We start from the raw sequence: 13,365 nt of genomic DNA, 5'->3' as shown, positions 1-13,365 counted from the left end.
ATATGTGTAAGAGCTTGGTACATAGTTGGTGCTTAATAAGTGTGAACTATATGTGGGATGGGATTTTATATATAAAATTTGATTTTGAAGTGAAACTGATGATGTCACCTATATTACATGCACCAAGAGGGCATGAAAAGGTTTATTACTCACATAATGATGCTGTCTGAGTAGAGCATGGCAGGCTTCCAAGTTGGTCCAAAAATGACTTGAGAGAGCAGTGATAGGAGACTGGCTTGGGGTTTTATGGTGATTAGGGAATGGGGCTGTGGGCTGGTTTTTACACTGTACATATGCTGAGACTTGCCTGGTTTGAAATTTCTCTAATATCAACAGGTGGAGCACCTGGGCTTTCTTACCAGCTTGCCCAGATTCGAGGCAGAAGGGGAAGAGGAAATGGTGGGGCTTGAAACCTATCAGCAGTCAAGTATCAGAAATGGAGTTGGATTTCTTATTCAACACAAACAGGATAAATAAAAAGAAAACCACACTTAGATATATCATGGTCAAACTCATGAAAGAGGGAATCTTAAAGCAGCTGGTGAAAAATGGCACGCAGCATACAAATGACAGGTGATCAGCAACAGAGAAGATTGTAAAGTGATATATCTAAATCACCAACATCAGGGAGTCATAACAATAAATTGTATCTGCTTAATAAAGGAACTTAAAAATACATGCAGCAAAACTGGGTAGAATTAATGGGACAGAATCACAAATCCACAATTGGAGAGTTCAATTAGAACAAAAAAATCAGTAAAGACATAGAAGTTTTAAGTTACATTATTAAGTTACATTATTAACTACCTACGTGATATTTATAGAATACTAAACCCAACATGAGTAGAAATACAAGCGTTTCAAGTGTTCATGGTAACTTCACCAGGAAAGACTGTTTACAGGGCACAAGTCTCAATCAATTTTAAAAGATTGAAATCCAAAGTATGTTCTCTGCCACCAATAGAATAAGAAATTAATACCAATAAGACATCTGTTAAGAATTGGAAATTAAACCTTAAAATTCTGACTTATGGGTTATTCAGGGGAAAAATGAGGTAAAATATATTTCAAACCAAATTATAATGAAAATACAGCATATCACATATGTGGGATGTAGCTGAAAGAGTGCCTAATGGAAAATTTTATAGTTTTAAATAATCTGCTAGGAAAGAAAGTTACCTAAAAAGATAAAATAGAAAGTAAGTAGAAAGAAGAAATAATAAAATTAAGAGTAGAAATCAGAAAGCCAAAAGCGAGTTCTTTGGAGAGATAAACGCTTGTTAGACTGATCAAGAAAAAGACAGAGAGCCCACAATCACAAATGACCTATATTGGTACTGAAAGAGGGATTGTCATGGTAGGTCCTACAGACAGTAAAAAGATTATAAGCAAATATTATAAACAATTTTATGCCATTAAATTTGATGACTAACTGTAATGATGAAATTTAGGTTACCCCCAGCTGATGCATGAAGAAATACAAGATCTGGGTAGCCCTATAACAATGAAAGAATTTGACTTCATAATCAAAAGCTTTCCTGCAAAGGAAACTTCAGGCCCACATGGTTTTACTGGTAAATTTAAGCATTTGTGCAACAAATATCACCAATCTTATAGACAATAAACTCAGAAAAATGTTGTTTTATGAGGCTCACATAACCCTGAAACCAAAACCTGACAAAGATGCAACTAAAAGAAAAGTTAAAGATTAATATATCACTAACATACATGAGAAAAGAATACATCATAATTGAGTTCTATTCCAACAAGGTTAGTTTATAACTTTCAAAAAGTAATCAGTGTAAGCCAGCCGCAGCGGCTCATACCTGTAATCCCAGCACTTTGGGAGGCCAAGGCAGGAGGATTGCTTAAGCCTAGGAGTTCAAGACCAGCCTGGTCAACAAAGCAAGACCCCATTTCTATAGACAGATAAAATTACCCACCCAGGCATGGTGGCATGCCCCTGTGGTTTCAGCTACTCAGAGGCTGAGGCAGGAGGATCACTCGAGCCCAGGGGTTCAAGGCTGAAGTGAGCTATGATTGCACCAGTGCACTCCAGCCTGCATGAGACATTGGGACCTTGTCCCCCACCCCCGAAAAAAGAAAAATTAATCAGGTCAGATGCGATGGCTTATGCCTCTAATCCCAGCACTTTGGGAGGCCAACGCAGTAGGATTGCTTGAGAGTTAAGGAGTTTGAAACCAGCCTAGGCAACATAAGACTCTGTCTCCACAAAAAAAAAAAAAAAAAAAAAAAAAAGCCAAGCGTGGTAGTACATTCCTGTGGTTTCAGTTATTTGGAAGGCTGAGGTGGGAGGGTTACTTGGACCCAGGAAGTTGAACCTGCAGTGAGCAGTGATCACGCCACCACACTCCAGTTTGGGTGACAGAGCAAGACCCTGTCGGGCAAAACAAACAAACAAACAAAAAAACTATGTAATTTACTGCATTAACCAAGGAGGGAAACTATAAGATCACCTCACTTGGTCAAAAGCATTTGACAAAATTCATCATCCATTCATGATAAGCATTCCCAGCAAATGAGAAACAAAGAGACTTTCTCAGTCTGATAAAAGGTATTTAAGAAACACTAACAGCTAAGGATTTACTTAATCATGAAATACTGTGTTTTCCCTCAAGAACAAGACAGGGATGTCTACTCTTGTGTCCTTATTATTTTAATAGAAGACCTAGCAAGCGCAATGAGTCAGGAAAACAAAATATAAAAGGTTTAAAGATCTGAAGGAATGTTTCAAAATTCTGTTTGTAGATGACATGCTTATTTATGTAGGAAATCCTAAAGAATCTATAAATATAGCCACTAAAACAAATGAGTAAATTTAGCAAGGCTGCACTTTATAGATTCAGTGTCTAAAAATCAATTGTATTTTTGTAAATACTAGCAGCAGACAAATAGGGGTGTTAAGAAAATTCATGAATAGTAGCATCAGTACTAAATACTTAGGAATACATTAAACACACACACACAATGACCTCTGCTTAAAATGCTGAAACCTTGCTGAGAGAAGTTAAACAAATGAAGAGGGAGTTGTGATTCTCATATGGCCAGGTATGCTCTTACCAGACTGACACTCCCTCAATAACAAACTGCACAAAATTCTAAAAATAACATGAAGTACTGGAGAATAAACAAAAATAGGCATGTTTTAGAGGGGATTGACACTCGGAAGAAGGAAATGGCGTAGGCGAATTTTCTGTTTTACAGCTTTTGTCCATGCAAAGTGTGCAGGGTAGGTAAAATTCCAACACAAAACCAAGTCTTTCTGGCCTTGAAGCACCATAGGTAAGACTTGGGAGAATCACAACTATTGGAGAGTGAGGAGTGAATATCAGCAAGGAGAGTTTCAGAAAGAGAGCCCTGGATTCTGCCTACAAACTTTGCCAAAATCACCTGCTGATCCCACATGTGTACGGTAGACAGTACAGCCAGATAATCAGCCTGATTTGAATTGCTCCAGGACAGAGTTTGTGGTTTGAATGCAACCAGGTTAGTTGTCTGGTGAAACAAAAATGAAGACTTTTGGAAGATTGTAACAGAACCTCTAACTACCATCAGATAAAATTCACAATGTCTAGCATACAATCCTAAATTACCTAACATACAAAGAACAAAGAAAATGTGACCCTTTATAATGAGGAGACCAACCCTAGAAGACCTACATGTTGGAATTACCATGCAGTAAACTGATGGATACACTTGTGAATTGGAAAACTCAGTAATAAGTTAGAGTACTTAAATTACCCTGACTTCAAGACTCACCTTGAAGCCATAGTAATCTGTATAGTGTGATACTGACATAAAAACAGATAAGATAGCCCCACATAGATAAACACTGTGTGCCTATATGATTTTCAACAAAGTTGCCAAAGCAACCCAGTAGGGAAAGGAAAGTCTTTCAACAAATGGTGCTGGAACAGCTGAATATCCATGTGGAAGAATGAACATGACTCCACCTTACACCAGTGAAAACAAAATATTTCTGGATAAATTGTAGTCTAATTAAAGCTAAAACTATAAAGCTTTTATAAGAAAATATAGGAGAATATTTATGACTTGGGGGTAAACAGAGAATTGTTCAAAGTATATAGAAAGCAGTGACCATGAAAGCTGCTAAGTTAGACTCCATTGGTATACAAAACATATTATTAAAATACATTGTTAAAAAATAAGTCAGAGTGGGAGAAAATATTTGCAAAACATTTCTGAAAGGATTGAATCTAGAATTTATAAAGATTTCTATAACTCAGTAATGTAAAGATAGCCTAATTTTAAAATGGACAGTAGTTGGCTACTTCACTGAAGATAAAGGTCCAGTAAAGAAATGGAAAAATGTGTAATATCGGTAGGCTTCAGGAAAATGACAATTGAAACCACAATGAAATACCACTGCACAATCATCAGACTACCTATAATTTAAAGACTGACCACACCAAATGTTGATGAGGCTTTGGAATAACCAGGAGCTCTCTCTCATACATTGAAAGAGGGAGGACTGTAAAATCGTACTCTGGAAAATGATCTGGCAATTTATTGAAAAGCTAAACATGCATCTATCCACTGACTCAAGATTTTCACTTCTAGGTGTTTACCCGAGAAAAAAAGAAATCATATTTCTATATAATGATATGTACTTTCTTGAATGTTCATGACAACTTTATTCACAATAATTAAAACCTGGCAACAGGTCAGGTGTCTATCAGTATAAGAATGACTAAATAAATCATGCTTGTTCAAGTAATGGAAAACGACTCCACACACACACACACACACACACACACACACACGTCATATACATTAACATGGATGAATCTCAAAATCATGCTGAGTCAAAAAAGACCCAAAAGAATATGTACCATATTCCATTCATACATAGACTTTCCAGAAGACACGACACCTATGGTGAAAAGATCAGATTAGTGGTTGCCTCTGGGGATGAGCGCATGGATGCCAGACATTGAGAAATGGACATGGGTGATGATCTTGACAGGGTTGAGAAGTGTACAATGTATGCATCTGAGAAAACTCAAATGGTACCATTAAGATGTGTGTTTCATGCTGTGTAAATTTAACCTAAAGAAAAAAAGAACAGCGAACTCTAGTTATGTGCATTCTTAAGTGTCTAGATTTGTGTTATCTGCAGCTTTTATTTTTCTCTCTGAGACAGGGTCTAGCTCTGTCATTCAAGATGGAGTGAGTGCAGTGGTGCAGTCTCACTGCAGCCTCCACCTACTGGGCTCAAGTCTCGGCCTCCTGAATACTAGGAGCATAGGTGTGCACCAGCACACCCAGCTAATATTTTGTATTTTTGATAGAGACGGGGTTTCACCATGTTGCCCAGGCTGCCCACATACACCCTTATTTTTAATGTTCCAAAAAGTAAGGGATGGATAGAGAGGTTAAGTAGATACATGAGAGAGCAAAAGAAAACAAATCCAAATTACAGAATTTAGCTGATCAATGTGTAGGGTGCTTACTCGTAACTTTAATGGATGTTTGAAATTTTTTATCATACAGAACTCAGGAGAAGATGGAAAGCTTGTTCATGGAAGTATCTGAGAAGTTGGAATAAATACTTAGAAACTGTTGAGTTTTTCTTTTCTGAGATATTCCTCTCCAAAAGTTTGCTTGATTCTTTCGTTTTGTTTTGTTTTTTAAGATGGGATCTCACGGTTACCCAGGCTGGAGTGCAGTAGTGCGTCATAGCTCACTGTGGCCTGAAACTCCTGAACTCAAACTATCCTCCTGCCTCAGCCTCCCAAATAGCTGGGACTGCAGGCACATGCCACCATGCCTGGCTAATTTTTTAATTATTTTGTAGAGATGGGGTCTCACTTTGTTGCACAGGCTGTTTGCTTGATTCTTAAGAACGTATAGGGATCCAGCTGTACAGAGCTTTCTGCAGTCTTTTGTAATAGAATTAGTTGTTAAAATTGTACTTATTACATGAGCATCAAAGACCTTGGAATAAAGCTATTCCTCACATATCTGGACATTATTTGGACTTACTATGTTACCGATTAGGAAGACTTGGTATTAGTTTATTTTTTAAAATTCTGTTTCATGTGTGTTCTTATAAAATTATACAAATAACAGTACCACACCATTGTGTGGTGAGCTCTACTTAGAGCTCTGTACAGCTTGGGTATCTGGAATGTAGACATGCTCTGTTCTGATTTGAAACTTAGAATGAAACCCTGACATACCGGAATGCACATTTGGTGACTGTTTGTTTTTGAATGGTTACTATTTCATTGCTACAAGATAAAATCGAAAAACATTTTCTACACAGAGTGAAGGTTTAAGCCAGTTAAGGACCCTGTTAAACTGTCTCCAGATTTAATTACTGCCCAATTATGCCTTAATTATGAAGGAATGTGAGCACTTATTAGCTATTGTTGATGATTCAACCTTTTTGAAATAAATTTCTTAATATATTTCTTTTATATTTTCAATTTTTATTCAGGAATATCTCAAATTTTCAAGAGATACAGTTTTTTGCATCTGTAATGCAGCAACTTAAAAAATCATTTGCACCTACTTATTTCTCAATCAGGATTGTCTACATTTTGCAAATAAAATATGGGGAAGAGACTGGATTCTGAGGCAAATAAAAGGCTATCATTCTTAATCATTGATTAAAAATTTAAGTTTAATCAAAGTAGTCACATTGTTTTCAGTGATGTGATAAATGACATTTAAACATTTGTAATTGAATACTACAATCTATTTTGTGTCTTTCAATTATATTTGTAGTCAAGATAAAATATACAGCCACACATAGTACTTGTAATTATGGAGACTTAAAAAAATTATTACAGTGATTAACTCTTCATTCCTGAGCTGTTTAAATCTAAACTTTTAGTCTTAAGTCACATATAAAAATGAAAGGATTATTTTAAGTAGAAATAATTATGGATGCATAGTTACAGATTACTCCCCTAGAAGTCTGTATTAAATGAGTAGATCAGTAATCAAGAGCTGGAGCCTTAGGAAAGTTCCTTTTGTTGATAATATTCTGCTAATTGACTAATTTTACTGAGTGTTCAGCATGCTTTTAATCTTACCAAGGTGGCAACTTAGGTTGTTATCCCTTTTGATTTGTTAAAAAAAAAAAAAAATACACTGTTTAGGCAAGAAGATCATGAAAAATAATAAATTAGTAAAACAATGGGGTTTATTACTTTTGTTATTGGTTGTCTAACTGCAGCAGTAAATCTTGCAGATATGGTAGGAACAGTAAAACTGGTTTAAAGGGTTACCAGATTCTGTGATGCGAGCCACCTTTTGCCCAAAGTTGGTAGTGTTTTCTTCAACTTAATTTTCACTGCTTCTCTTTTCTTTCTCCATAACAAAGATGTGAATAAATATCTATATCCTTAACGCAAAAAAAGTAGTAAATTGACCAAACATAATATCTGGATAATTGGAACAAAGTGCAAAATGTTAATTTAGATGTGTATATATGTAGGCGAGTGTATACTTTGTAAATTGTACACTAGATATTAAATTTTAATTTCAGTTTTCAAAAGTCAGCTTATTCTTAGATGAAGAAAATCTTTGATGTGTTTTACTGAAATACTTATTGTAAAAGTTATTACTAGGGAAATTTGATAAGGATTTCTATTAGGTTTATTACCAAGTCATCCTGTTAGTTTAGTGATTAATATACTGTATGCCAACAAAGGTAGTTGCTATATTAGTATGTTTATGACTTTAATAGCTGTTTTGCCTCTCCTCCCCACCTCTTTTTAATTTAAGCTAGATATATAAGCAAGAACATTACACAGTTGATGGGGGATAATCTGTCTTTAAGAAACTGTTCCATGCAAAGAACTTTGGGACTTTGCGTGAGATAACATACGTATGCTTGTTCATCTGTATATTGATGCAGGGACATCATTGTAGTTAGTTAATGGTCTGCTACATCTTATTTCAACATATTGTAATATTTCACATTAATTTGTTAGTAAACAGTATCAAATTTGTTCAGGCAGAATTTATGAGACCAATTTTTGCTGATATTTTTCAATACATGAGAGTTTTAAGAATATCCTGAAGTTAGATGGTCAAATAAATTTAGGAAATGTTGAGCCAATGTGTTTGGGATATTGCTATCATTGTTATAATAACTTAATAATCTCTTTAGGATATGTTGATTTTACATAGCAAGTAGTCTTAGTTTAACATTTTCAGACCTATTTTCTATCCTTAGTACTTTGTAAACAGCTTGATGTTGTACAGGTTTCTGTTTTTCACATTTGAGTAATGTACAGACATTTCTTGTGGACTTCCTTTAATATTATTTAAATGTATAGAAACATACTTAAGTGCAAACTTAACGCTAACCAAAAGACAAATTTATACTCAGTTATATAACCCACAAAATTCCAATTAACATCAATTTAATAGGTGATGGATACTATTTTTACATAACTTGCAGGTTACTTTGAGGTCCCTAATCCATTTAGTCTTACACAGTGCTTGATATAAAGTAGCTAGCTTATGAAGACAATTGTCATTAAATATTTGTTTGTAAGATGCACATTTTTTTCACTTTGAGATGCCCCTTATAAATAAAATTGAAAGAGGATTTTCAAGTGTTACACAAATAATGTTGCATTTTAAAGTAGATAATCTTAGATTAGTGAAATTTATTGAATGTGTAAAAAGCTTTTTATATAGTTGTTATAATCAGTGCTACTTCTCTAAAATTTTTCCTGCATTTGTTTCTTTTAATATTTTTTAGAAACTGGCCATACCTAGAAGTTATAACTTACACTTTTTATTAACAAAATGAAAACCTGGGAGATACAGTTTTTCCCCAGTGTTATTTAGGATGTTATGATTTAATGTGATAAGGAATATTATAATCCACTTTTGTACTATGAAAATACCAGTTGGGTCACCAAATATGTTGTTTGCTGGGTGGTACACAAAGGGCTTTGGGAGCTCAGGGTGTTGTTGGGAAATACATTGTGGTTAGACAGAATCTTTAAGGAAGAGTGGGTGATTAAAACTGCCTCATTAAAACCTACCAAAGGCATCTTAAAAATTGACCTCGTTTGTTAGACTTATTAAAGAATTAGTAGTAAAGTTAAAAGGTGGCTAGGAAGGGGCAGTTAACATAAATTGCACATGGAAGAAAATTGGTACCAAAGGTTCATGTGAGACAGAAAGGACATTGTGTGAGAAAAGAATGATCAGGGCTCAGGCTGGCATGTTATTATTTGTCTCTTATAGTAATGCCCAAACTGCGCTTTAAATGATGCAGTATAGGAAGTAATGTGCCTCTAATGTTTTAGAACCATATCTTTTTATAGAAGTGTCAAGATGACATTGACTTGCATTTTATTCTCTGGCAATATTTTCTTCTGTTTTATTTTTACAATTTTGGTGAAAGGCAATATACATTCACATGGCTCAAAAATACGTATGTTTATGTATGTATACACATACAAGCATGCATATACACATACATTGGAACCTCTCCCTTCCCACTCTGCACCTCAAGTAACTACTGTCCATGATGTATGTGTGTCTTTATGCATATATTAGTGAGTAATTACAGATCTTTTTACCTGTCCTTTTTTAATACAGGGAGTAGCATATTTTAGACCTTTCCATATCAGTTCATAGGGTGCCTTCATCATATGCTAAATTGTTCTATGAATTTTTTGTTGGGACTTTTTCTGTTTTGGTTTTTACTTTTCTTTGCATTCTTTTGTGTTTTTCCTTTTTTCAGGTAAATTTTTTATAGGTGAAGTGCACAAATCATATATTCAGTTTAGTTAGATTCAACAAATGCATATACCAGTGTTTTAAGATAAAGAAATTTCAATCATCCAGAAAGTTCTTTCATACTCTTTCCTAGCGGTTCTTCTGGAAACAATTACTGTTGTTTTTCACTTTGAATTTGTTCTGCCACTTCTAGAGCTTCGTATAAGTGGAGTCATTCAGTGTAGATACTTTAGTGTTCAGCTTCTCTTGATCAGAATATTCCCAAGATTCATCCATGGGTCAGTAATTCTTTTTCAAGATTGTTTTGCTATTCAAGATCCTTAGTATTTCCATATACATTTTATATCAGCTTGTCAGTTGCTACAAAAATATTTTTGCTGAAATGGTCACTGTAATAGATATAAAACAAATAGGCAACAATCATTAGGGAATTAGGTCAGATGGACATCTTAATATTGACTCATCTGTGAATATGCTGTATCTCTATATACTTAGCTTTTAAAAAATATCTTTGAGCAAAGTTGAGTTTGGGCAGAGTTCACAGTCACATTGTTGATGTTTTTCCCTTGTGCCTCTTTCTTTACAGGGTATCTTCCTTCTTTTTTCAAACTCTCTGGCAGCCCCAAATGTGTCCTCTGATTCTAGGTCAGTAAAACTGCAGTTTTCTAAAAACAACCCCCCTGCAGTGTTCTGTTTGAATTCTAGTTGCCCTGCCTAGCTGTGGCTGGGGAGTGCCCTTGGGTACACAGCCACAGAAATGCAGCTCTCATCCAGTACAGTTTGCAGCTTTGACAGTTGGACCTCCCTTCAGCTTTTGTCTGTTTTTGATCTGTGTCTGCTATTTTCAAATAGTTGATTATTTTGTTCAGAGTTTATCATTGTTATATGAAGGAAAGTTAGCCTAATTGAGGCTGCTCTGCCATTACTGGAATTAGAACCTCCATTCTGTTTTGTGTATTCTTTTACTAATTGCATACTGTTTTAATTATTGAGAATTTATTATGTGCTTCAGAATCTGGTAGGACAGGTCTTTACTATTTGTTAGAATTTTCTGGTCATACTTATTTGTTTTGGCTTATTACAGTATTTGGACTAATACCTGGATTTTTAAAACATTTATTTTTATTGAGATTGCATCAAATATATAAATTTGGTAGAGTTAATACCTCTATGATGGTATCTTCCTGTGTAGGGACGTATGTTTTTCTTTTTTGCTCAGTGCACTTTTGTGTTCTTTAGTTATGTTTAAAATGTTTCTTTGTATAGTTTGACACAGTTTTAATTACATTTATCTAGATGCTGCTTATACAACTCTCACTATCTAAGGGGGATTGGTTCTAGGATTTCCCACTCATACCAGAATTAGTGGATGCTCAAGTTCTGATAAAAAATGGCATTGTAAGCCTGGGCACGTTGACTTACTTCTGTAATCCCAGCATTTTGGGAGGCTGAGGTGAGAGGATCACTTGAGTCCAGGACTCAAGAGACTTTGTCTCTACAAAAAGTGTTAAAATTAGCCAATCGTGGTGACACACGCCTATAGTCCCAGCTACTCAGGAGGCTGAGGCTGGAGAACTACTTGAGGCTGGGAGGTCAAGGCCGCAGTAAGCCTTATTTTAAAAATAAAATGGCATTGTATTTGCATATAACCTATGCACATTTTCTCATACTTTAAATCGGCTGTTCCCAACCGTTTTGGCACCAGGAGACAGAGTCATGAAAGGCAAGTTTTCCACTGACCGTGGTGGTGCGGCAATGGTTTTGGGATAAAGACGTTCCACCTCAGTCATCAGGCATTAGTTAGATTCTCTTAAGGAGTGCCCAGCCTAAAGCCCTCGCATGTGCAGTTCACAATAGGGTTCTTGCTCCTATGAGAATCTAATGCCACTGCTGATCTTCCAGGAGGCAGAGCTCAGGTGGTAATGGTCTCTCCCCTGCTGCTCACCTTCTGCTGTGTGTCCTGGTTCCTAACAGGCCGTGGACCGGTATCAGTCTGTGGCCTCTGAGACTCCTGCTTTAAGTCATCTCTATATTATGCATAATATGTAATACATTGTAAATGCTGTGTAAATAGTTGTTATACCATATTGTTTTTAAATTTTGTATTTTTCAATTGTTGTATTTTTTAGTTTTAAAAATTTACTTATTTTTTCTACTTTTTGATCCACGGTTGGTTGAATCCAAGGATGTGGAACCCTTGGATACAGAGGGCTCTATGTTTTATTATAAATTGGCTTATTTTAAAAAATATTTTTTATTATGTAAACAGGCAATGATTTTACTAGCTAGAAGCAAATTTAATGTTTTAAAATAAACCTTCCAATTTTGTTAGGCATGATAATGATGGAACTGAGGCTTAAATATACCCTATGGCAGCAGTTGGAAAGTGGCCGAATTAGGGTTGGGGTCTAGATCTGTCTGCCTCTAGATTGATTGCAAGTTCTTAACAATTACTGTTTATTCTTCTCTGATTCCTTTCAAGGATTAAATAAAGTACAATGTAAACTTCATGCTCTATTTTAGATTCTGGTTCTCATGTGAGTCCCAGAATAACTTGAGTGAAATGTTCTGATACAGAGCAGAATAGCCTCTTGTGCTACACTTTTGTTAATTATTTTCAAAGAATAGTCTCCTGTATACCATTTCTTTAATAGACTCAGAAGTCTGTAGAATTGAGGTGATTCTGTTGTGATTTAAACTACATCATGCTATATGTTTCCAATAGATATTTGAAAATATCTTTTAAATAAACCATTAATGTCATGGTTTTTAAATCAGTATATCTTTGGAAAAAAGGGAAAGGTCTAAGCCTTAATTTACCTGGCTTTTTCTGGCTTTTATAGTCTGGTAAATTTTGCAGCCTGAAAAAGCAAGAGAATCTATAAAATACTTGAATGAGATGCTGGAAAATTTCAGAACAGGTTTTGTTTTGAACTGTCGGGTCACTGTAGCCCCCAAAGCAGGGCATGATGTGTTCCTGCAGCCTGATAGCTATGTGACAGCACCTGTAGTACTAAAGCCAAGGATGCCAGGTGGTTCTGTTGCCTGGCCACAGGAAGCCAGCGCTTCTCACCATTGCCCTTTGAACTGTTGATCCAGTTAAGCTCACTAACAATGTGTAAATATGAAATTTAATCAATTGCTTGATTCATTTTCAAAAGATGTTTTGAAATACTCCTTTATCCGCATTGAAGTTTTGATGATTTTGTAATATGTAAGAAATGGACTTTTCAGAAAAGTACAACTTAGTACTTGAGACATTGGCTGTCAAAGTTCCATTCCAAAACTTCCTTTTAAGCTCTCTTTCCCTTCTCTCACTGACCAGAAGTTACTATGAAATGAAATAAAGGTAGGGAAAAAGGGAGAATTATCTCTGAGCTGCCCATATTCTGGAGAGAAATGTGGGAGAAAATTTTTAAGGTGGTATACTAAATTAGAATGACTTCAAAGTCTATTTCTTTATTTATTCTAGAGATGAGAACAAAATAATTTTCAGTAAAACTTAAAAATATCATGACCAGATAACCTGAAAATCTTAACTGTGGATGCATGTCTATTTTTATTGGGATTTTTTTCTATATTAAAAATCAGTTGACATCTGTTTTT

At 35.3% G+C, this 13,365-nt stretch overlaps 1 protein-coding gene across 6 annotated transcripts in view; it reads left to right on the top strand.

Moving 5' to 3' along the window:
- Positions 1-13,365, top strand: part of SMAD2 (SMAD family member 2) — a 121,916-nt gene that overhangs the window by 46,572 nt on the left and 61,979 nt on the right. The window lies entirely within an intron of this gene.

The sequence above is a fragment of the Homo sapiens genome, chromosome 18 (genome assembly GCF_000001405.40).
Source record: "Homo sapiens chromosome 18, GRCh38.p14 Primary Assembly".
Taxonomy (NCBI): Eukaryota; Metazoa; Chordata; class Mammalia; order Primates; family Hominidae; genus Homo; species Homo sapiens.
The sequence above is the reverse complement of the archived record's forward strand: the minus strand, read 5'-3'. Positions and strand labels throughout refer to the sequence as shown.